The sequence below is a fragment of the Homo sapiens genome, chromosome 6 (assembly GCF_000001405.40).
Source record: "Homo sapiens chromosome 6, GRCh38.p14 Primary Assembly".
NCBI lineage: Eukaryota > Metazoa > Chordata > Mammalia > Primates > Hominidae > Homo > Homo sapiens.
In genome coordinates, this window is record NC_000006.12 from 30674907 (window position 1) to 30698810 (window position 23904).

Here is a 23904-nt window from a genome sequence, read left to right on the forward strand (position 1 = left end):
TCATGTTGCCCAGGCTGGTCTCAAACTCCTCAGATGAGGCAGTCCACCCGCCTTGGCATCCCAAAGTGTTAGGATTACAGGCATGAGCCACCACACCTGGCCTGACCTCTTGAATGCATTGTTTTCTGTTTCTGAGATGGACTGTGAGCACCCCTGGCACCTCGGAGCTTCCTAACTCTGTTTTCCTGGGTCACAACTGGAAACTTTTTAAGACCTTTACCTAACAGGCTACTAATATAATCATTCTGTTTCCTTCCCTACCCAGACCTTCTCTGAACTGGCTGAGTCTTTTGACACCTGGCTTGTTCTCTTGCTAGTAAATTGAAAACCTTTGGCGTATGCTTAAGTTCAATTTGTCTCATATATTTTGTTTTATAGTAAAGGTGTGGGGCCTCCTCTGACCAGTCTGAGAGGAGCAACTTGTAGTGGTAGAAGGACTATAACTATTCAACCATATCTTTGTTAGCCTGGAGAGCTAACAACAAACAAACAAATTTTCCTGATGAGTAAAATATTGATGTTCCACATTTGTATAAGATATTCTTTGAAATGGGAAAATTCCAAATATCAACTACATGGGCACCAAAGCCATGCACTATCAAGATGGTTTTTAAACCTTTTTTTTTTTTTTTGAGATGGAGTCTCACTCTGCTGCCCAGGCTGGAGTGTAATGGCGCAATCTCAGCTCACTGCAAGCTCCACCTCCCGGGTTCATGCCATTCTCCTGCCTCAGCCTCCCGAGTAGCTGGGACTACAGGTGCCCACCACTATGCCCCGCTAATTTTTTGTATTTTTAGTAGAGACGGGGTTTCACCGTGTTAGCCAGGATGGTCTCAATCTCCTGACCTTATGATCCGCCTGCCTCGGCCTCCCAAAGTGCTGGGATCACAGGCGTGAGCCACCGTGCCCGGCCTTTAGGCCTTTAACGATATAAAATCCATTGTCTATCAGAGGGGAACCTTTTCCAGGAAACTGACTCTTGTACATACTTACTTCATTTTGCAGCAATTTCAGATTTAGTATTCGTAGCCCCAGCTCTTTAAGTAAGTATCCCTGGATTAGCCACATGGGTTGTGTCATACACTACCTAGCTGCCTTCATGGCAGCAGGCTTCTGAATACTAGAACCCTTCAACTCAAAGTGTCCTCTGTAATATTTTAACCCTTTTCTTCTATTCATTCATTTGTTGTCATTCATTCTAGAAATAATTCCGTGTCTACTAGTTGACAGGTACAGGATATTGCAGTGAATCCAGCTGATGTAGTCAGCCCTCATGGCACTTCCAGTCTAGTGGACACTTCAACTGCCCTTTCTCATGTCACCTGCTTGTCCTGCGTGAAACCCACGTGCAGCTTCCCAGACCCCTTTTGACATGTCAGTGCCGAGTTCCTGGTTCATCCCCCATCATTTTCCTCTCCCCCAGCCACCAGAGCCTCCCCTCACATACCCTTTTTTTTTCCCAAAGAAGGAGAAGCAGACGAGTTGAAGAGAACTCCATTTTATTATGGAAAGTTAAAAAACAAACAAAACAAAACAGGCAATTGATAAAGGCGGCACAATGGGGAAGGAGAGGTGAGGTGTCTCCTTAGCCACCCGACACCATCTCAATTCAGTTCAATTGTGAACCACTAGGAGAAACAGAATTAAATAACTATCAAGGGGTACAGAGTTAAGAGTTCCAGCCTTCCCTCTTGGGGAAAACTAAGGCAAAGTAATACTGAGAAAAAGTGGAGGAAGCCACACCTTCAGGTCACTCCAATGAGGAGACTGGAGGGGACAGAGGAGAGAATTCCACGCAGACACAGCAAGTAAGCGTGGCTTGTAAACCTGGGACTTTGGCAGGTGGGGCTGGGAGCTGATGGAATTTGTAAACCAGGCTGTGGTCAAGGGAGGAGGCAGGAGCTGTAAACAAAGGGGCAGTGACCTAGGAAATGAAGGAGATGTGCCTATAAATGGAGTGGGGTCTGGGCCTCCCAGAGAGACGAGTGCTTAAATCCCGAGAGTCCCCACGGGATGGTGGGGAGGAAGGCTGTGGGGAGAGTGTACCCTGCCATGGGGGGCAGGTGCTCCATCTCCACCCTCCAGGGAGTTCTGTGCCCCTTCTCAGGACTTGGCGCTCACTCTTGGATGACCTAGGATGCACCAGCACGTTTAACCCCACCCACACCAGGGACTTTGGATTAGGGTAGAAATTGGGCAATTGGCTCTGCCCCCAGAAACAGGGTGGGGAAAGCAAGTTACAAGATGTTGGTTGCCCTTCCCTGCCAGGCTCATTATCAGGGTCTGTCTGCCCTGAATCTTCCGGGCTCCAGGATCTTCAGTTATAAGAAGGAGGGAGGTATATCCCTATGTTGGAAGATGGTCACCGCCGGCAGGACTCATCTGTGGGAGAGGGGGCAATAATGTTAGAGAATGAGTGAGAGCCTCTGCCTTCTGCCCACCCTTCCCCCCCACACAAATTGAAGGGCAGTTGGCATGCAGGAAGTCCTATAATATCTTCCATATCTAAAGCATGTTACCACCAGTAACCACATCCATCACTCATTTAGCTCGGACTCTGTGCCAGGCATCCTTATAACTGTTTAATCTCACCATAACTCCAGGAGAGATTAAGTAATATGATATCCAGCTGTGGCTCTTGGTGCTTCACAAAAAATTACTTAATCTTGGCCTGGAGCACCTGTAATCCAAGCAATTTGGGAGGCTGAGGCAGGAGGATCACTTGAGGTCAGGAGTTCAAGACCAGCCTGACCAACATGGGGAAACCCTGTCTCTACTAAAAATATAAAAACTAGCCAGGTGTGATGGTACACATCTGTAATCCCAGCTACTAGAGAGGCTGAGGCACAAGAATCGCTTGAATTTGGGAGGCAGAGGTTGCAGTGAGCCAAGGTTGTGCCACTGCATTCCAGTCCAGGCGACAGAGGGAGACGCTGTCTCAAAATAAATAAATAAATAAATAAATAAAATTACTTAATATTTTCTACAAGTCTAGGAGGTAGTTTTTGGTTTCTGTTTTTTTGAGACAGAATTTCACTCTGTCACCCAGGCTGGAGTGTAGTGGCGTCATCTCGGCTCACTGCAACCTCTGCTTCCCGGGTTCAAGTGATTCTCCTGCCTCAGACTCCCGAGTAGCAGGGATTACAGGTGTCCACCTCCATGCCTAGCTAATTTTTGTATTTTTAGTAGAGATGGGTTTTCACTATGTTGGCCAGGCTGGTCTTGAACTTCTGACCTTGAGTGATCCACCTGCCTCGGCCTCCCAAAGTGCTGAGATTACAGGCGTGAGCCACCGTGCCTGGCCTGTTTGTTTCTTTTGAGACAGGTCTTCCTTTGTTGCCCAGGCTGGAGTGCAGTGGGTGGTGCAATATTGGTTCACTGCAGCCTCCAACTCCTGAGGTCAAACGATGCTCCCACCTCAGCCTTCCAAGTACCTGGAACCACAGCTGCGCACTGCCACACCTGGCTAATTTTTTTTTTTTTTTTTGAGACGGAGTCTCACTCTGTTGTCAAGGCTGGAGTGCAGTGGCACGACCTCGGCTCACTGCAAGCTCCGCCTCCCAGGTTCACGCCATTCTCCTGCCTCAGCCTCCCAAGTAGTTGGGACTACAGGTGCCCGCCACCACGCCCAGCTAATTTTTTTTTGTATTTTTAGTAGAGATGGGGTTTCACCGTGTTAGCCAGGATGGTCTCGATCTCCTGACTTCGTGATCCGCCCGCCTCGGCCTCCCAAAGTGCTGGGATCACAGGCGTGAGCCACCGTGCCCGGCCCACACCTGGATAATTTTTCAATTTTTTTGTAGAGACAGGATTTTGCCATGTTGCCCAGGGTGGTCTTGAACTCCTGGGCTCAAGCGATCCACCCGTCTTGGCTTCCCGAAGTGCTGGGATTACAGGCATGAGCCACAGGAGGTAGTTATTATTAACTTCATTTCATAAATAATAAACTAAAGCAAGAGATCAGATGGTTTCCCTGAGATCACACAATTAAAGAGACAAGCTGGAATTCCAACTCAGGCCTGTCGACCCACCCTGTGATTTTGACCAGATTACAGCACTCAGGAAGAGTTCTCGTTTTGAAACCTGAAGACTCAATGTGTACTTCACTGCCGGGGACCTCAGTTTGCCCATCTGTTAAAGGAGCATGTTGAACCAGAGGACCCGCCAAGCCCCTTCCGAGTGCCTACATGTAATCCTCCCTCCTCTCTCCTGGACCACAGCGCCCGCTCTGACAGCAGGGGGCGCCCTCGGGCCGGCGGAGCCTCCGCTTACCCACAATCAGGGCCTTGGTGCGCAGCCCGCCCTGGAGCTCTGGCTGCAGCAGCAGCAGCTCTTCCTCATCCTCTTCGTCGTCGGGTTGGGCTGCTGGAGGGTTGGGGGCACTGGGGACCTCAGGCTCCGGGCCCAGCTCCTCCAGTACCGAACTCTCGGAGGGGTATTGGTACGTGGTCTCCAGGGCTGTCTCGCTGAAGGAGATCTTAAGCTGAAGGAGGGAGAAAAAGGGGGCAGGAGGCAAGGTCAGCAGGGGAGAAGCCCGCGGGGGTTGAGGGAGAGAAAGCGGGGGCGGGGGGGGCGGAGTCTGCAAGGGAGCAGGTGGGACTGGCGGAACGTGGGGGTGGGGGCTGGACTCAGGTGCCCCACTCACTCTCCCCATCCACTCTGGGATCCAGTTTTCCTTTCCATACTGGCTCTCCAATTCTAGAGTTTCCCTCTTCGATCATATCATTTCAAAACATCAGACTTTGCCCTGTACGTTGGCAGGGGCTTGGGAGGCAGAAGTGAATAATATAAGACCAAGGTCCCTGCTATTTCGAGTGTGGGAGGCAGAGGGGTAAAAAGAAATTAAAATACATGGCGATAAGTCTTGTGATCAGAACCGAGTCTTTGGGCACCTTGGGGGCAATCGAGTGAACTTCCCAGAGGAGCCCAGCAGACTGGCCAGTGGGGAAAGAACTGGCTGGGGAGCGAGTCTCAGACAAAAGCAAGGTTTTCATACCCACAGCCCCTTGCTGTCCTATGCAAAACCCAGGACCCTGGGCACCTGTTCCCTCCTACTCTCCTCATTCCTCTCCTATCCATAGCAAAGGGAGTCTAGGGCCTAGGAAGAGATGGGAGATGAACAGAAAGGCCGAGAGGAACCAAGAGACTCCAGCAACACACAGGGGAAAGATGAGCCGCTGACACCCTGAAGGCTGGGGGAGATGACAAGGGCAGAAAGGAAAGTCCACACAAACCTGGGGTGGGGGTCCACAGTGTGCCCAAAGGGACAGGCACAGAGACAAAATACCAGACAGGGCACAGAAAACCCTTGGTAATCACACTGTCCCAAGAGCAGGCGAGTCCCAGCTGTTCTCACTGCCTTTCTACCCTTCCCCTTTGCCCTATTAAGAAGCTCAGGGGGAAGGGGCAGGGTGGGATTAAGTCTAGGAGCCAAAGGGATTAGGGAGACAGCAGGAGGATTCCATATGAACTACTTGGAAAGGTCCAAATGATCTACTCAGGCCTTCCCTGGCATCTGTTTGGGAAGACTTGGGGTCAGCCGTACATCCCTGAGTCCCCTAATGAACTGAGGTATGAAAAGAGAGAAGCCAGAAGGGTGGCTGGGCAGGTGGTTGTTAAGAGCTGCATCAATATGACACCAGTCAGGCATGGTGGCTCACACCTGTAGCCCCAGCACTTTGGGAGGTTGAGGCGGGAGGATTTCTTGAGCCCAGGAGTTCGAGACCAGCCTGGGCAATAGAGTGACACTGTCTCTAAAAAAGAAAAAAAAAGAAAACCAGATATGACACCTGGGTCCCCATGGGAAGGTAGAACTCAGGAACTGTATATGTTACTCCTTGTTGGCTCTGAACCCTGCAGTGTCTCCCCATCTCACTTGGAGCAAAAAGTCTACTCCAGGCTGGGCGCGGTGGTTCATGCCTATAATCCCAGAACTTTGGGAGGCCGAGGCGGGCGGATCACAAGGTCAAGAGATTGAGACCATCCTGGCCAACATGGTGAAACCTGTCTCTACTAAAAATACAAAAAAATTAGCTGGGCATGGTGGCGTGCACCTGTAGTCCCAGCTACTCGAGAGGACGAGGCAGGAGAATTGCTTGAACCCGGGAGGCGGAGGTTGCAGTGAGCCGAGGTCGCGCCACTGCTCTACGGCTTGGGCAACAGAGCAAGACTCTGTCTCAAAAAAAAAAAAAAAAAAAAGTCTACTTGATTGCCCCCAAGGTGCCCAGAGCCTGACCAAAGCCTACAGGGTGCTCCCAGTATGCCACCCTCCCCTTGCCTCTCTGGCCTCTTCCTCCACTCCAGCCACACTGGCCTTGGTTCCCTCCACGCACTCCTACCTCAGGACCAGAACAGTACTAGCTATTCCTTCTGCCTGGAACACTCCCCCAAAATATCCCCATGGCTCTGACCCTCCTGATCACCCTATTTTGAAGTCTCCATATTCACTCCCCCTACCTCCTGACCCTCTAAGTTCCACTGTTCTATTTTTTTTTCCATAATCACTTACCACCTTCTAACTTACTAGATAATTTACTAATATATTATACTCATGTCTGCTGTTGAAAGGAGCTTGGGGCCGGGTAAGGTGGCTCACCCCTGTAATCCCAGCACTTTGGGAGGCCAAGACAGGTGGATCACTTGAGGTCAGGAGTTCGAGACCAGCCTGGCTAACATGGTGAAACCCCGTCTCTACTAAAAATACTAAAATTAGCCGGGTATGGTGGCGTGCGCCTGTAATTCCAGCTACTCAGGAGGCTGAGGCTGGAGAATCACTTGAACCCGGGAGGTGGAGGTTGCAGTGAGCCGAAATCTCACCATTGAACTCCAGGCTGGGAGACAGCGAGACTGTCTCAGAAAAAAAAAAGAAAAGAAAAGAAAAAAGAAAGGAGCTTAGAAGTTGGTACAATGCAAGAGGTTAGGGTTTGTTCAGACCTCACATGAGGTGCCATCAGAGGACCAATGCTGGGGAAACGATCTGCGGGTGGTCCAGCCTGTACACATTTGACCCCCAGTTCATGTCTGTGGAACTGCTGGTAGAATCTAGTGACAGCAGCCAGACTGCTTATATCCCAAGTTCTCAGAAGGGACCGCTTAGGTTTCTGTAACTGACAGATTTACCCACATTTCTGGGAACCCATTTTTGTTTTCTTCTCATATCCTCTTTTGGAATAATAACCTCTGTACTTTATTTTCTACTCTGAAAATGACTTATTTTATTTGCTCTCGGTCTATGTTTATATCTCCCCCCCTACCCTGCCTGTCTCCTCACCCCCCACCAACTTCTGACTGGGCTTCTCAGAAATGCACAGCCTGCATGGGAGTGGGGGGGTAGAGAGGGGGTGACTCACTCGCTCCTCTCCCATCAGCTATATAAGGTCACAATGGGGCTGGTCTCTCAGCCCAACCAAGAGGCCTCTGGGGTAGGGCACCAGCCACAGCCATCCCCTGGGCTCCAGTGGCAGGGCTGGGATTTCTCTCCTGATGGCAGGGATAAATTTGATGGAATTAGCCTGCAAACGAGTTATTTAGGGAAGGTGAAGCGGGGGTTGGTGGCAGGGTCCTCCTATCTCCTATTCCTGAGCCAGTGTGTTGCAGCAGAGCTGGGACAAGGCACCCAGTCCCTGAAGAACAGGTTGCTGACAGGGGGTAGAGGGTGGAGGGTGAGGCGTCTGGGTCAGAGGAACTCTGTGCTGCCTCCTCCCCACCCCCACCCAAGCAGCGGCTGCTTCCTTATTCTCTCACCACATCCTGAGCACAGATCTGGCAGGCCCAGGGCCCAGGGCCCAGGGTTCCCCACTCAGCCCCACCAGCCTTCCGGCCCCCACCCCAGGCTTCCTGTTTGGGCGATCTGCTTCCGGCTCCCCTGCTCTCTGGCCTAGGTATGGTCACCAGCACAGGTCCTGCCCTGCACTTGCTTCCTGGCTCCCCTGGGATGCTCCCTGGGCTTTGGGCCCCAAAGCTTCATGCTTCCCTCTGCTCATTCTTCCCCAGAGGCACAAGCCTCTCTCAGTAGGAAGTGACTTTTCTGAACACCTCACCCGGGTAGCATTTCCGGACTTCTGTTTTTTTCATCTGCCCAGCCCTGAGGGGAACAGGCTGGTAGCAGTCAGAGGGCTGAGGGTAGGTTCCCAAGAACCATGGCTTAGAGGTGGGAGCTTACGCTTCATGTGAAGATGAATTGGGGGATCAAATGAACCCCCCTCCACCCAAGGCTTAACCCGTATCTTTAGTCCCTGTGGTTCCCCACTGACACTGAGGACACAAAAAAATCAAATCTGAGGATGTTAACACATGGGATGAGAATGAGACTGGGCTTCCCAGGCTCTGGGGAGATGTGTGTGACTGGAGGGACTTCCTAAGTCTGAGATGTCTGAGTGTGGGACCTCTGTCTCCCTAGAGATTTTCAAGCTGGAAACAGATGGATGTGCACAGGGAAGAAGTGAGGCCAGGGCCAGGGGGAGTCATCCTGGCTGCCCCCACTTTCCTGCAGGTCTTTGTTGCAAGTCTAACCTCTGACCCTCTGCTGGCCTCAGCCCCAACCCCTGTCCAGAACTCCCACTGTGCTCCCTGGCCAGTGCCTGTTCTCAAAACTGTCTCCAAATTCACTTCTCTCTTTTGCTACCCTAAGGGGAGGGAAAGTCCAGGATGGCAGGAAAAGAGGGGAAAACCGATCCCTGAGCCAGTTCTTGGGAGGGAGGGGAAACCCAGGGAGGAAGGACAGGGGAGTGAGGGGCGGGGGTATTTTGGAAGAGGAGAAGGCTTTTCTTGTCCCAAGAGAGAAGGGAGCACTGTCTGAAGCAGTGGCCCAGCTGGGGGTGTGCAACCCCGAGGTCACCCACTTCAAATGGCCTCTCTGTGTCTCTCCCATGGGGCAGACTCGGGGTTCAAAAGCCTTCTCTCTGATCTTTGGCCGGCCCGGTTCCATCTCCCCTCTCCCCTCCATCCTAGGATGTCCCTATTCAGCTCTGCCCTCCTTCCCACGGGGCAGTTGGACCTTTCTCCATTCACTTCTCCCTGCAGTTTCTCCCTAGAACACAAACCCACCCCACCCCCTCCACCACCCCAGGCTCCCTATCCCTTCTCCCCAGAAAAACTGCAAGTGCTCTCACCCTGGTGACCCTGCCCTCACTGATTCAAGCTCGTCACTTTAGGCTCTCCCACTGGATGGGCTGGGGCAGGTCACACTCAGGAAAGGAAGGAAAGAAAAGGGGGTTGGAAACTCAGAGCCCAAGGGAAGGGAGAATGAGCAGCCTGGCACACCCTGAAAGAGACACACCCAGAGACAGCCTTTGCTGGGGCAGGATCTTTTGGGCTCAAAATGGAAAAGGAGGGCTCTGAGAAGGAAGGGTGTATGTGCAGAGCGAGGAAGGGTGGTGGCAGGAATTAACAAGAAAGAATAGAGGAAGACAAGAAAACAGGGGTATAAAAAAGAAAGAGACCAGAGTCCAGAGAAAATTGACAAGTGGACTTCTAAGAAGTCTGGCTTGGCTGCTTCCCTACCTGTTTGTGGTGTCTTTCGGGGGACCCCTTGGCAAGGCAGCTGCGGCTGAGACGGAGGTAGCCCCCCAGAACCAAGATCTCCTCGGCAGTTGGGTACCGCTTCTTCCCAGCCCCCGGGACTGCAGCATCAACTGTGGCTGGAGAGGTTGGGGTGGCTGGGGTCGCAGGGGGCACAGACCGCCGGGGGTTGACGGTGAAGGTGTGTCCACTGCGGCGGGGGGCCCCCACCCCTGGCCCTGCCTTCACCCCATAGAACAGGCGGCTCATGAGGGGATCCCCAGGAGGTTGGGGGGCAGTTGGGGCTGGGGGTGGGGGAGACAGAGGGGCTGGTGGTGGGGGCTGGAGCTCCACTGCTTCCTCTTCCTGCTGTCTCAGGCCTCCAGTCCCAGCGTCCTCTGGTGGGAGGGGGGAGGGCACAGAGCAGCAGTTCTGCAGGGCTCTCAGAGGCCTGCCCTGAGCCCCCGCCTCCTCCTTCTCAGCCTCCCCTTCTCCAGCCTCCACACCGGGAGATTCCAGAAGCTTCTCTGCTGACTCTGGAGGTTCTGGTTTCTGAGTTTGAGCCTCTATGTCCCTGGGTGTCCATTCTCGAGCCTTCCCGGAGTTCAGGGTCCATTTCCACCCTTCTGTTGGCTTCATGCCCCTCTCGCCATCTTCCACAGGCCTCTGCTCTGCTGCCTCCACTCCTGCGGAACTGTTGCCTTGGGCCTCCCTTGTCAGGGTCTCGGACAGCTCTGCAGTCTCTTTTGGAGCTACCCCTGGAACTGGCCACTCTTCTTTTCTCCCACATTCTTCCGAGTAGTCTTGTCTTTCTTCTCCTGACCTCAGCCTCCACTCTGTTGCCTCCAGTTGTACCAAACTCTGTTCCTGAGACTCTCTGGAGTCAGGTCTCCATTTATGGGCCTCTGTCAGGCCCAACTTCTGGTAGGCAGATTCCCCTGGGCTCAGTCTACTTTCCACCTCTTTTCTCCTGGGGCTTTGCTCTCGAGACTCTGCTAGTCTCAGACTCCGCTCTGGAGTTTCTCCAGGACTCAGCCTCCATTTCCATGCCTCTGACAGTCGGGAGCTCCTGTCTCCCACCTCTCCTGGGCTTTGCCTCCAGTCCCGAGCCTCCAGAGGCCTCAGGCTCAACTCTTGGGCTCCCCCTATCCCCAGCCTCCTCTCTCTGGTCTCCCTCGGACTTAGTCTCTCTTCTCTTGACTCTCTTCCCTTGGGGCTCTGATCCCGCATCTCCCCAGGGCTGGGTCTCCGCTCCCGGGCCTCCAGAGGCCCAGGCTTTCTCTCTGCTAGCAGCTCTTCACTCCGTTGTTGTTGCTGCTGCTGCTGCTGCCGCTCCTGCCGGATGAATCGGTTCTGGTGCACTGGCCCGATGGCCTCCAGAAGGACCGCAGACTCATCCGGGTCTGGAGGTCCAGCCTCTACAGTCCCTAGCACAGGGCTAGGCTCCCCAGGGGACAGCCCAAGCTTGGCCCGGCGGCGCTCCAGGAGCCCTCGTTTCCAGGCTGGCATCTGGGACAGGCGCTCCCGTTCTGCTTTCTCTCGGCCTCGAACGGACGCCTCCTCCTGCCGGCGCCGGGCTAGCAGCTGTAGCTTCCAGTCTGGGATGGTGGCCATGGTCGTCTTGAGGTGAGGGTAGGGAGCACTGGGGACAGAGAACAGGAAGGAGAGGCTCCAGAGAGTGAGACAGCCCGGGGGTGAGACTGAGGGTGGGAGGAGAGGAAGTGGAGGGGGAGAGGTGGGACACAAAGCAGGGCAGAGGGGCTAAGGATGAGGACAGAGGGAAAGACGGAAGGCAGAGAACTGGGGAAATGGAAAAAGTGAAGAGAAGTTGTGAGCCCAAGTTGGGGGTGGTGGGGGTGATGTGAGAGGAAGAGTCCGGATTGGAGGCAATGAGGGCAGGAGCCAGATGTGGCAGCACAGGGTTAATGCGTATTAAAGACCGTCTCTAGGATGTGAGAAAGAGAGAGAAGGGCGAAAAGGAAAGTTGGCGTGAGGGAGAAGAGAGAAATGTGGCAGGGGTGAGGGGAACCTGGGTGCAGGCCAGGCTGCCTCAGCGATACCCCAGGGAGGCTAGTGTGGGAAGGAAGGACCAGGAATCCCTGAAAGGACCAGGAGGCAACGGGACCTGAGGGGGTGTTGGGGAGGCAAGGAGGGGCGGAGAGCGAACAGGTCTAGAGGAGAAGGGAAACCAGGGAAGAGGGGAAAGGAGGGCGGCGGCAGCAGCCGGGCGCGTCTCAGCGCGGGCCCCAAAGGTCCCGGCTCCGCTTCCAGCACCGCTCGGGCCACGCCTCTCCCCAGCCCCCACCCCTCTGCCCCGCACTCCGCCCCCGAGGCGGGTCGGGGGAAATAGCCACCCCCGAGACTTTCGGAACCCGGGCGTCAGGGCTGCCAGCGCGTTCCCAGAACCCTGGCGTCCACCCCCACCCTGTCCTGTCACCACCGCCTGCCTCCCCCACCGACTGCCCCACGCGACCCCAGAGTGCCAAGGGCCGGCTCCATGTCTCTTCTCCCCGGCGCCTGCAAGTCCTGCGCCCCGTCCCCGCTCTCATGAAGCCGTGACAGAGCCGGCCGTCTCCACCCCGCTGTAGCCGCACAGACTGACAATCTCGGCACAAAGAGGAGACAGCCAAGGTCCGGGCCAGGGACGGGAGCAAGGACAGGGGCGAGGAGACACCCACTCCCCAAGTCTGAGCCCCTCAGTCAACTCACAGGCCGCGGGACCCCCGGGGGAGGGGGTGCGGAGGAGCCGGGCGTCCAGAGAGAGGAAGAGGAGGAGAGAGGGACCGAGGGAGATCCGGAGACTGGAGGGAGGGGAGGAGGGAGGGAGAGGAGGAGGGAAAGAGGCAGCAAAGGAGGAGGGACGGAGACAGAGACCAGGGGGCCGGGCGGGGGCGGCGACCGCTTTGTCTAAGGACAATGAGGAGAGGGAAGGGGGCGCAGGGCGGAGCCGAGGAGAGGGCGGGGCCTAGATCCCTCCCACCCCGCGTGGGACTCGCTGCGGGACTGCCCTCTTCTCGCCCCAACCACTGGTCCTCCGCTCTGTCCCCAGGGGCCCTCACCAGCTTCCCGCCCGGACACGCCAGGTGTCCAGATCCCTTCCCCCAGCTCGCCGACCCAGGGCGGTGGCCCGTGACTCAGGCCCCTCGTGGGACTTTGGGAGGAAGCGGCAGCTGCTCCGAGCGGGGCCCGCCCTTCCCATCTCCTGCCGCTCCTCCCTACGCTTTTGCCTTCTCATCTGGGTCTGTAGGTCCAGCCTCTGAAGTCCTTTGTTTTGCGGGGTCGAGGGCAGCCGCCAGGCTGTGGGGGGCTTTGTGGATGGGCGGCAGGAGAGGCGCTCAGAAGCCAGAGGTTTTGGATGCTCCCTCCCCTACCAGAGCTGCTGCCCCGACTCTTTCTAGCTTCAACCTGTCTCCCTTGGGTCTACAGGTCGGCTGCCGGGAAAAAGGGGATTTGAAGGAATGGGAATGGGGACCCGGCCGCTCTGGCAAAGTGGGGGCGGGTCTGCGGGGGTGGCCGAACCCCAGCGGTTGCCAGAGGGCGTGGTGGCTGCCCAGACTCCAGTTCGGTGCTCCCAGGCTCCCTCTGGCTTTCTTTCCCAAACTCAGCCCTGTAGCTTGGGAGACACTGACAGACTGCATGCCATATGTAGAAAAAGGCTGACTTTTATTTTCCTGCAGAGCATCTTCCTCGGGAGAGCAGGGAGCCCCAAGTCATCGAGTTAAGAGCAGGAGAATCCCCTTGACTAGGTTGGGGTCTGAGCCCAGAGGCAGGGCCTAAGGAGGTGCAGAGACTAGGGCCGGGAGTGGTGAGGCAAGGTTGGGGCCTGGAGGGACAGCTATGACCGTTGAACTTGCAGACCCTGGTCCACCTTCTTGGAGTGGAAGCCAGCGGTGCAGAAGGGGACCCCTGAGGCGCAGAGGCAAGTAACAGTGCCAGGGGAGTGGTCAGGGCAGATCCTTTCCTTCTCAGGAGGCTGTTGAGGGGGAGAGTGTCATGCTCTAAACAGTGAAGGGACAGATGACTTCCATACCCCACTCTTCCTTGCTGGTGAGAAGTGGACCTTGGAGTTCAGTGGCTGAAACTCAGAATTTAGGGTATGGAGCTGGACCCAGAGAATAAAGTCTCAAGTAGTAGAAGGGGCATCTCCTTCAGTCCATGGATTTGGGCCTCTGGCATGAAGCAGCCAGGGCCTGGATGTTAAGGATTTAGAATTCAGTGGGAGAGGAAGAACAGGGCTTGTAACCAGAGTGAGCTCCTCACTCTGCCTCCCCATCCTGGGGCCGAGAGAGCAGGTGGAGTTTTCTTTGTAGCTGGGCCCGGAGGTAGCGGAGGTCTTGCTGATCAAGCCCGTGAGCCAGGCCCAGGTAGAGGGTAAGGAGGAAAGCAAGGAGGAGACGGTCCGTGCCCAGGGTAGGCACCACCCACAGCACTGTCAGCAGCTCCACACACACTGGGTGGCGCAGGTGGGAGAAGAGTCTGAGAGCCCGGGGAGACTTCAGGGCCAGAGGCTCGCCCAGCCCCAGCACATGGTAGTATACCTAAGAGAGGGAGAAGAGCTTAGAAATGGAGTCAAGCCCTTTTCTCATCTTGGGCACTTCTTTCCTCCTCTTCCAGGCACCACCCTTCTAGAACTCAGGCCCAGGAACCCCCCTTCTGAGACTTGGATCCCTGATCCTGACTTCTGATCCATGTACCTTCCCCAGGCCCAGGAGGCCCATGCTTGCTGCCCTTACGAGGGAAAGTCAAAGGGAAGGGCCACGAGGGAGAAGCAGGGAGACAGTAGAAGAGCATGGGAGGAGGGAAACCCTTGAAAGGGAACGAGGAGTTCTAAAATGGGTCAGAGGTCATAGGTAGGGATCTCGGAGCCTCACCTGTTTGAGGCCCATGAGCTCAGCATAGTCAAAGACGAGAAGGATGCTAAAGATGAGGAGCCAGGAGATGACATGGAGCACAAAGCAGAGGAGCGGCACCCAGGTGGCCCATGGCTCAGCCCGAGCCTCCCACAACACAGGGCCTTTGGGTATGGGCTCCCAGTACCGCATCACCAGCTGTGGAAGGATAAGGGGCTGGGTATCCCAGTGGCCTAGTCTGCCCGACCTTGGGAGACCCAGACCCAGATCTGCCCCCACCACAGGCTAGCCTGCAACTCTCCCCCACCTCTCTCCTAAGCATCACCACCAAATATTCACCATGTGGAGGGTGCGTGCTGGGTGAGGTCCCAAAGATGTAAGGATGGCCTGTCTCTACCCTGAGAACTTATAGAATAGATGGGGTGACCTGATAGCTACGCAAAGTAGTAGCCTGTGCCAACCACCCAGTGAAAAGACAGACAAGGCCTTCTCTTCAGACCTAGGGAAGTGGTTTTGAAGAAAGGGTAGGACTGAAGAGAAGGGATCTCAAGCAGGACATAAACAAAGTTGCAGAGGTGAGAAGCATATCTTGTGCTTAGGGAAGGACAAGTACACCCTTCTTGATAAAAAGTAGGATATGTGCTGTGGAGGAATGGAAGCTGAGATTAGTTCCTCAATTCTCCTCCTGAACCCATATTTTGCCCCTCCAATCCACGGCACCCCTCCCACACTTGGTCTCCCTTGGGGACTCAACTGCCAGGATTTCATACCTGCAAGGCCAGGGCCTCATACCTGCAAGGCCAGGGCAGTGCAGGCCACATACAGTGACCTCTGAAGGACCCCAAAGTACCGGGATGTCCATGCCTTCACTCTTTCAGCTGCCATGAGGCTGTGCTGCCCAACAAATAGAAGCAGGAGCCCCAGATCCCATGCCAGGGGGGCAAGGATGCTGCGGTCCTGCAGGGCAGCCAGCCATCCCTGGCGGGCATCTACAGGAAGTTGAGGGAAAAAGAGACAAAAGATCGAAACAGTGGCAGAATGTTTCCCCCACCCTCATCTCCTCTTGGATCCCCAGGCCATGTCCCTTACTGCTTTCAAGAGCCTTAATGCTTCCTCTCTAGGCTGTGCCCATCTCACTTTTCCATCCCTAGTTTCTGCCCTCTTCCCTAGGCCTCCTGCAAACCTGGGGAAGAGGATTTATAGAACACCACATGTTAGGCAGTTGCAAAAAGCATGGCTGGAGAGGCCACGCTGGATTGCCCCTCTTACTTCGGTTCTCCAAATGCTCCTTCTTTTTAACACTCTCCTCTCAACAGTCCTCTCTACAAAACACTTTACTTAGAATACTCCGGTCACCGCCCTTTTCGGCTCCCTCAGTCCTCACTCTCCCGCCTCTCCAAAACTCTAATCCTTGAGTTCCTAATTTAGAACTCAGGTCTCCCTCCCCTGTAGCTTCTCGGCCGCTTTCAAGGTTCGAGTTCCCTCTCTTGGACTTCCCCTGTCATTTGTTTCCAAGCCCCGCCCTCAATCCCTCTCCTACGGCTCCACCTTCCTCCTCCCAGTTCATCCTCGATCCCTCCCGCTCACCCGGACCACCAGACTCCGGGATCCCTCCAAGAAGTGGCCGAAGGGAGGTAAAGCGCACGAACTCCACTCCGGTGCCAAAGGCCAGGATGAAAGAGGCGAGGGCAGCAGGGATCAGGAGCAGTGCAGGGGCCATGGCGAGAAATGGAGGGGTGGGGAAAGGGGCGGGGTCGGGATTCCCGCTGCCACAGGCCCCGCCCGCGGCCCCGCCCCCGGCTGAATCCAGCCCAGGAGGGCGGGGCTCCTGCACGCCACCGCCAGGCTTCCGGCCCGCCTGGCGCAGCCTTCCCCATCCAGCTGTGGATCCGTCCTGGGATGCGTGTCCCGGCCTGCTGTCTCTCCGTCACAGAAGGGAATGTTAGAATCCCGAGAGAGAGCTGTTAAGGGTAGCGGCTCTGCAGCCGCTCACGTGGGTTGAATCTCAGCTCGTCTAGTTTTCCCATCTAAAATGAAAAGTTACTGTTTTACCACAAAATAAATTAATGTATGGAATACATTGTACAGAATACAATATACAGAATAAATTCTGTAACTTACTATAAAGTTGAGTTGTTGACTGGCCAGTTGCTAAGAATGGCAAATAACTTCTCTGTAAATACTGAAAGGTTTGTTGTAATAGTGCCAGAGATTGTTGATTAGTAACCACGAGAATAAACATGTTAAAATATTTGTGATAGTAACCTTTGTCAGAATTAAAGATCATGCAGCTAAGGACCTTGTCACAGTAGACGTACACATAGTAGGGACCTTAGATATCATTAGACTAATTCCATCAACTTATAGATAGAAGAAACAGGTCCAGAGAGATAATTGCCTGAGTTAGGAAGCTGCTAATCCTGTAGGCTAAGGGACCAGATAATTGCTGAGCAGCCTCTCGCAGGCTTTACATTCCTTCTCCGTCTCCTGGGCTCAGTACTCCCACCCTCCTCTGAATCAATGCTGTTGTATGCTGTACCAGACATCTTATGTTTTCCCTTGAATTCAGTCTCCACCCTGCTTTCTGCTTCAGTAAGTTGTCCCAAATGGACGGTATCAATGAAAGTCACAGTTTTTATTGAGAAAGTCCTCTCGCCGGGCGCGGTGGCTCACGCCTGTAATCCCAGCAGTTTGGGAGGCCGAGGCGGGTGGATCACGAGGTCAGGAGATCGAGACCACGGTGAAACCCCGTCTCTACTAAAAATACAAAAAAAATTAGCCGGGCGCGGTGGCGGGCGCTTGTAGTCACAGCTGCTCAGGAGGCTGAGGCAGAAGAATGGCGTGAACCCGGGAGGCAGAGCTTGCAGTGAGCCGAGATCGCGCCACTGCACTCCAGCCTGGGCGACAGAGCAAGACTCCATCTCAAAAAAAAAAAAAAAAAAAAAGAAAAGAAAAAAAAAAAAAGAAAGTCCTCTCTACACGACTGCTCTGTCCTCATCTTTTTGAGCTTGGAGGTGATCACAACAGAGCTGTGGGTACTAAGGCACTGCACTATTCTTTCTGATTTCCCTACACCCTGCCTACTTCTTTGTAATTATCACTTTATTAAACTCTCCCCCAAATTATCCTAATTTCACTGTGCTATTCATTTCCTGCTAGGACCATGAATAGAGACACTTACCACACAAAGCAATGTGCTACAAGCTATGGGGTTCATTGGAAGTGTAAGAGGCCAGACTCGGTGGCTCACGCCTGTAATCCCAGCAATTCGGGAGGCTGAGGTGGGTGGATCACTTTAGACCAGAAGCTGGAGACCAGAATGGCCAACGTGGTGAAACCCCATTTCTACTAAAAAATTTTAAAAATTAGCTGGGTGTGGTGGTATGCGCCTGTAATCCCAGCTACTTGGGAGGCTGAGGCAGGAGAATCCACTGGGTGATGGAGCAAGATTCTGTCTCAAACAAAAAAATAAATAAATAAAATACAAGGAAGTGTAAGAAAAGATCCCTAATCTCTAGATGTTTAACCTGAGGCATTTAAATAGTACCACTCATGAAGAGGGAGTGTAGCTGAGTGCTACATGGTGCTCTACAGACAGCAGGTATGGTAAGAAATCAAGGTCTCTGGCTGGGCGCAGTGGCTCACAGCTGTAATCCCAGCACTTGGGAGGCCGAGGCAGTTGGATCATCTGAGGTCAGGAGTTTGAGACCAGCCTGGCCAACATGGTGAAACCTCGTCTCCACTTAAAAGACAAAAATTAGCCAGGTGTGGTGGCAGGAGCCTGTAATCCCAGCTTCTCGGGAGGCTGAGGCAGGAGAATCGCTTGAACCCGGGAGGTGGAGGTTGCGATAAGCTGAGATCTCGCCACTGGACTCCAGCCTGGGTGACAGAGTGAGACTCCGTCTCAAAAAAAAAAAAAAAGGAGCTGGGCGCGGTGGCTCATGCCTGTTATCCCAGCACTATGGGAGGCCTAGGTGGGTGGATCACGAGGTCAGGGGTTAGAGACCAGCCTGACCAACATGGCGAAACCCCGTCTCTACTAAAAATACAAAAATTAGCCGGGTGTGGTGGCACACACCTGTAGTCCCAACTACTTGGGAGGCTGAGGCAGGAGAATTGCTTGAACCTGGGAGGCGGAGGTTGCAGTAAGCCGAGATCGCGCCACTGCACTCCAGCCTGGGCAACAGAACAAGACTCCATCTCAACAACAACAACAAAAAAAAAAGGAGCCGGGTGCAGTGGCTCACGCCTGTAATCCCAGCACTTTGCGAGGCCAAGGTGGGTGGATCACCTGAGGTCGGGAGTTCGAGACCAGCCTGACCAACATGGAGAAACCCTGTCTCTACCAAAAATACAAAATTAGCTGGGCGTGGTGGTGCATGCCTGTAATCCCAGCTACTCAGAAAGCTGAGGCAGGAGAATCACTTGAACCCGAGAGGCGGAGGCTGCAGTGAGCCGAGATCACGCCATTGAACCCAGCCTGGGCAACAAGAGTGAAACTCTGTCTCAAAAAAAAAAAAAAAAAAATGGAAAGAAAGAAATCAGGGCCTCCGGGACATGGACAATTTTAGAGTATGAAAGCTTTGAGTTGTGCAAGGGGACTAATATTTATCTGGGTCATACTGTCTGCCACCCCCACAATGGCTGTGCTTAATGTATATTATGAGATTAGATATGTTTAATAGCCAGCAAAATGCTTGGCAAATCTCATGCTATTTCTACTACACCAAAGTTTTCCAAACTTAAGTATTACTTACATGCAGAAAAGTGTACATAAGTAATCAACTATTTTTTAAAAATTGAAATTCATGCAACATAAAATTAACCTTTTTTTTTTTTTGAGTTGCGGTCCAGGCTGGAGTGCAGTGGTATGATCACAGCTCACTGCAACCTCGAACTTCTGGGCAAATGGTCCTCTTGCCTCAGCCTCCTGAGTAGTTGGGACTACAGGCATGCGCCACCACATTCAGCTAACTTTTTATTTTTTGTAGTGATGGGGTCTCACTATGATACCCAGGTTGGTCTCAAACTCCTTGGCTCAAGTGATCCTGCTGCCTTAGCCTCCCAGGGTGCCACCATGCCTTGCCTAACCACTTTATTGTATTTATTTATTTATTTATTTTTGAGACAGAGTTTCGCTCTTATTGCCCAGGCTGGAGTGCAATGGCGCGATCTTGGCTCACTGCAACCTCCGCCTCTTGGGTTCATGTGATTCTCCTGCCTCAGCCTCCCAAGTAGCTGGGATTACAGGCGCCCACCACCACATCTGGCCAATTTTTGTATTTTTAATAGAGATAGGGTTTCACCATGTTGGCCAGGCTAGTCTCAATCAAACTCCTGACCTCAGGTGATCCACCCACCTTGGCCTCCCACAGTGCTGGGATTACAGGCGTGAGCCACCACACCCGGCCTAGCCTAACCACTTTAAAGAGAATAATATAATGGTATTTAGTACATTAGTATATTAGTAATAGGTACAACCACCACCTCTATCTAATTTCAAAACATTTTTTTTTTGAGATGGAGCTTTGCTCTTATTGCCCATGCTGGAGTGCAATGGCTGATCTCCGCTCACTGCAACCTCTGCCACCCAGGTTCAAGCAATTCTCCTGCTCAGCCTCCCAAGTAGCTGGGATTACAGGCATGTGCCACCACGCCTGGCTAATTTTGTATTTTTAGTAGTGACAGGGTTTCACCATGTTGGTCCAGCTAGTCTCGAACTCCTGACCTCAAGTGATCCACCTGCCCCAGCCTCCCAAAGTGCTGGGATTACAGGCATGAGCCACCACGCTGGGCCTTCAAAACATTTTCATCACCCCCAAATAAAACTCCATACCCATGAAGTTACTCCCCATTTTCTCATCTCCCCCACCCCACAGCCACTGGCAACCACAAATCTGCTCTTGTTCTCTATGGGTTTACCTATTCTGGATATTCCTTACATGTGTAATCACATAATATGTGTTCTGTTTCTGGCTTTCCTTCACTTAGCAAAATATTTTGATATTCATCCTCAAAATATTGTAGCATATATCAGTATTTCATCCTTTTCTATGGTTGAATAATATTTGATTATATGGATATATCACAATTGTTTATCCACTCATTTGCTGATGAATATTTGTGTTGTTTCCACCTTTTTGGCTATTGTAAAAAGTGCTGATATGAACACTCACGTACAAGAATTTGTTTGAATAACTGTTTTCTTTTCCTTTTTTTTTTTTTTTTTTGGAGACAGAGTCGTGCTCTGTTACCCAGGCTGGAATGTAGTTGCACAATCATGGCTCATTGCAGCCTTGACCTCCTCCCACCTCAGCATTCCAAGTAGCTGGGATTACAGGCATGTGCCACCACACCTGGCTAAATTTTTTTTTTTTTTTTGAGAGAGAGTCTTTCTCTGTCACCCAGGCTGGAGTGCAGTGGCATGATCTCAGCTCACTGCAACCTCTGCTTCCCGGGTTCACGTGATTCTGCAGCCTCAGCCTCCCCAGTAGCTGGGATTACAGCCACATGCCACCATGCCCAGCTAATTTTTTTATTATTATTATTATTATTTTTTGAGACAGAGTCTCCCTCTATAGCCAGGCTCGAGTGCAGTGGCATGATCTTGGCTCACTGCAAACTCTGACTCTCTGGTTCAAGTGATTCTTCTGCCTCAGCCTCACGAGTAGCTGGGACTACAGGCGCACGCCACCACGCCCAGCTAATTTTTGTATTTTTAGTAGAGAGGGGGTTTCACCATGTTGGACAGGATGGTCTTGATCTCCTGACCTCATGATCCACCCGCCTCAGCCTCCCAAAGTGTTGGGATTACAGGCGTGAGCCACCAGGCCCAGTTAATTTTTTTTTTTTTTTAGACGGAGTTTTGCTCTTGTTGCAACGGCATGATCTTGGCTCACCACAATCTCCACCTCCCAGGTTCAAGTGATTCTCCTGCCTCAGCCTCCGGAGTAGCTGGGATTACCGGCATGCACCACCACGCCCAGCTAATTTTGTATTTTTTAGTAGAGACGGGTTTCTCCATGTTGGTCAGGCTGGTATCGAACTCCTGACCTCAGGTGATCCAACCACCTTCGGCCTCCCAAAATGCTGGGATTACAGGCATGAGCCACCACACCCGGCTAATTTTTGTATTTTTTAGTAGAGATGGGGTTTTGCCATGTTGGCCAGGCTCGTCTTGAACTCCTGACCTCAGGTGATCTACCCACCTTGCCTCCCAAAGTGCTAGGATTATAGGCGTGAGCCACCGCACCTAGCCCATTTTTGTATTTTTTGTAGTGACAGGGTTTTGCCATGTTGCCCAGACTGGTTGCCCGTGAAGTCCTGGGCTCATGCAATCCTCCCACTTTGGCCTCCCAAACTGCTGGGATTATAGGCATAAGCCACCCCACCCAGCCTGGACACCTGATTTAAATTCTTTTGGGTGTACACCTAGGAGCAGAATTGCTGGACTGTTCGGTAATTCCGTATTTAACTTTCTTTTTTTTCCTCCAATTTGAGAGCAGGTACTGCTTAAGTGCTTAGATTAGAAAAACAATCACAGTAGACACCTTAGCTCATTCTTCTAATAAGTCTGTTGATCCGGTTCTCCCTGTTGCCAGCATGTCCACTTTCTACAAAATGGGTGGTCTTTTTCTTTACTCTACCTTGTGGAGAGGATAATTTGAAGGGCTACAGGAAGTTATTTGCTTCTTTGAAGCATTTTCCAACAGTATAGATCTCAAGAATCAGATCCTCCATGCAGGTGATGCCATATTTACCAAGAGATAAAGCAATCAAAGTGTCATCTGTCAAAGCAATTTGCTTCTTATTGATTTTTGCCATAACCATGCTGGTAGATTAGTTCATTTACTGACTTCAGCTTTGGGTACCCCCATGCCATATATGGTTCTACAATCCTCAGCATGTTCATTGAAGCCTTGTTGAGCTTCACAAAGGTTCCACTGAAGATTTAACAAAGGCGAAGAAGCTGCAACACCTTTCGGACCTTTGGGTTCACACCACTGATACCTCTGATCCTGATGACAAACGGCAATTTGGGTTTTGCAGGTACATAGAAGTTGCCAGCTTTTCTGGCCATCCTAGCCATTCGAATTTCAGTTCTGTACATCTGCCTATATTCCTTGTGATAGTGCTTCACTTTTTCATAGATAAGCTTCCTCCTTGCCTTTTGAATCATCTTTTGGGCAAATTTCTTTCTCGGGCCTTTGATCTTCAGCTCTGGGAAATTCCTTCGCTTTTTAAGGGTTTCTGGCATAGCAAGAACCTCCTTCTTTTTCTCTCTCTTTTTTTTTTTAAGACGGGGTCTTGCTCTGTCTCCCATGCTGGAGTGCAATGGTGCGATCTCGACTCAATGCAACCTCCCCCTCCTGCATTCAAGCAATTCTCCTGCCTCAGCCTCCTGAGTAGCTGGGATCACAGGGGCTGGCCACCATGCCCGGCTAATTTTGTTTTGAATTTTTAGTAGAGACGGGGTTTTGTCATGTTGGCCAGCCTGGTCTTGAACTCCTGACCTCAGGTGACCTGCCCACCTCGGCCTCCCAAAGTGTTGGGATTACAGGTGTGAGCCACTGCACCCCGGCCCTCTCCTTCTTATCTACAACACTCTACATGAGGGTTCCAGCCAGAAAAGAGGCTACTTTTTTTTTTTTGTTTTTTTTTTGAGAGGGAGTCTCGCTCTGTCGCCAGGCTGGAGTACAGTGGAGCAGTCTTGGCTCACTGCAACCTCCACCTCCCGGGTTCAAGCGATTCTCCTGCCTCAGCCTCCCGAGTAGCTAGGACTACAGGCGCCTGCCACCACGCCTAGCTAATTTTTTGTATTTTTAGTAGAGACGGGGTTTCTCCATGTTAGCCAGGATGGTCTCAATCTCCTGATCTTGTGATCTGCCCACCTTGGCCTCCCAAAGTGCTAGGATTACAGGGGTGAGCCACCACGCCTGGCCTTTTTTTTTTTAGATGGAGTCTTGTTCTGTTGCCCAGGCTGGAGTGCAGTGGCACGATCTCAGCTCACTGCAACCTCCACTTCCCGGGTTCCAGCAATTCTTCTGCCTCAGCCTCCCAAGTAGCTGGGATTGCAGGCACATGCCACCACGCCCGGCTAATTTTTGTATTTTAAGTAGAGACGGGATTTCACCATGTTGGCCAGGCTGGTCTCTAACTCCTGACCTCAGGTGATCCACCTGTCTTGACTTCCCAAAGTGCTGGGATTACAGGCATGAGCTGCCGTGACTGGCCTTTTATTTTTTTGAGACAAGGTCTCACTCTGTTGCCCAGGCTGAAGTGCAGTGGCTCGTGTCCACCCACTGCAGCCTTGACCTCCTGGGCTCAAACGATTTTCCTCTTAGCCTCCCAAGTAGCTGGGACCATAGGTGTGTGCCACCATGCCCAGTGAATTTTTGTATTTTTGGTAGAGACGAGGTTTTGTCATGTTGCCCGGCTGGCCGTGAACTTCTGAGCTCAAGTGATCTGCCAGCCTTGGCCTCCAAAGTGCTGGGATTACATGTGTGAGCCACTGTGCCCATCCATATGTTTAACTTTTTGAGGAACCATCAAACTG

At 52.5% G+C, this 23904-nt stretch overlaps 2 protein-coding genes and 1 pseudogene across 15 annotated transcripts, besides 4 other annotated features; all 3 read right to left on the minus strand.

The window, feature by feature from the left end:
* Positions 53 to 192: a silencer, noted in NCBI's record as "fragment chr6:30642736-30642875 (GRCh37/hg19 assembly coordinates)". NCBI's record gives its function as "represses an EF-1alpha promoter that drives an FKBP-Casp9 reporter gene in an ReSE screen in phorbol 12-myristate 13-acetate-treated (for megakaryocytic differentiation) K562 erythroleukemia cells {active_cell/tissue: K562(+PMA)}" and the evidence as "EXISTENCE:reporter gene assay evidence [ECO:0000049][PMID:32094911]".
* Positions 1483 to 13485, minus strand: PPP1R18 (protein phosphatase 1 regulatory subunit 18). Of its 4 annotated transcripts, none has more exons than XM_047418258.1 (4): positions 12870 to 13485; positions 9502 to 11140; positions 4273 to 4483; positions 1483 to 2382 (listed from the first exon to the last, which is right to left on the minus strand). In XM_047418258.1, exons 2-4 carry the CDS (start codon positions 11110 to 11112, stop codon positions 2363 to 2365), a joined length of 1842 nt encoding a protein of 613 aa, XP_047274214.1. In that variant the 5' UTR covers positions 11113 to 11140; positions 12870 to 13485; the 3' UTR covers positions 1483 to 2362. The 4 variants fall into 4 exon arrangements, with proteins under 4 accessions (XP_047274214.1, XP_047274213.1, NP_001128342.1 ...); XM_047418257.1 differs by having other exon boundaries at positions 12558 to 13485; NM_001134870.2 differs by lacking the exon at positions 12870 to 13485 and adding an exon at positions 12208 to 12301.
* Positions 7078 to 7967: an enhancer, noted in NCBI's record as "H3K27ac-H3K4me1 hESC enhancer chr6:30649761-30650650 (GRCh37/hg19 assembly coordinates)". NCBI's record gives its function as "activates a minimal SCP1, AML or CMV promoter by ChIP-STARR-seq in naive H9 embryonic stem cells {active_cell/tissue: H9 hESC(naive)}" and the evidence as "EXISTENCE:reporter gene assay evidence [ECO:0000049][PMID:30033119]".
* Positions 7206 to 7500: an enhancer, noted in NCBI's record as "tiled region #567; K562 Activating DNase unmatched - State 1:Tss". NCBI's record gives its function as "activates a minimal TATA promoter and a strong SV40 promoter by Sharpr-MPRA in K562 cells {active_cell/tissue: K562}" and the evidence as "EXISTENCE:reporter gene assay evidence [ECO:0000049][PMID:27701403]".
* Positions 7968 to 8857: an enhancer, noted in NCBI's record as "H3K27ac-H3K4me1 hESC enhancer chr6:30650651-30651540 (GRCh37/hg19 assembly coordinates)". NCBI's record gives its function as "activates a minimal SCP1, AML or CMV promoter by ChIP-STARR-seq in naive H9 embryonic stem cells {active_cell/tissue: H9 hESC(naive)}" and the evidence as "EXISTENCE:reporter gene assay evidence [ECO:0000049][PMID:30033119]".
* NRM (nurim) lies at positions 13143 to 16514 on the minus strand. 11 transcript variants are annotated; one of them, NM_007243.3, is made up of 5 exons: positions 16470 to 16514; positions 15936 to 16375; positions 15141 to 15337; positions 14370 to 14546; positions 13143 to 14036 (listed from the first exon to the last, which is right to left on the minus strand). In NM_007243.3, the coding sequence occupies exons 2-5, from the start codon at positions 16066 to 16068 to the stop codon at positions 13755 to 13757; spliced, it is 789 nt and encodes a 262-aa protein (NP_009174.1). In that variant the 5' UTR covers positions 16069 to 16375; positions 16470 to 16514; the 3' UTR covers positions 13143 to 13754. The 11 variants fall into 11 exon arrangements, 8 of the variants coding, with proteins under 8 accessions (NP_009174.1, NP_001371298.1, NP_001257636.1 ...); NR_073065.2 differs by lacking the exon at positions 16470 to 16514 and having other exon boundaries at positions 15119 to 15337; positions 15936 to 16078; NM_001384369.1 differs by lacking the exon at positions 16470 to 16514 and having other exon boundaries at positions 15936 to 16078.
* On the minus strand, positions 21840 to 22630 carry RPL7P4 (ribosomal protein L7 pseudogene 4; annotated as a pseudogene).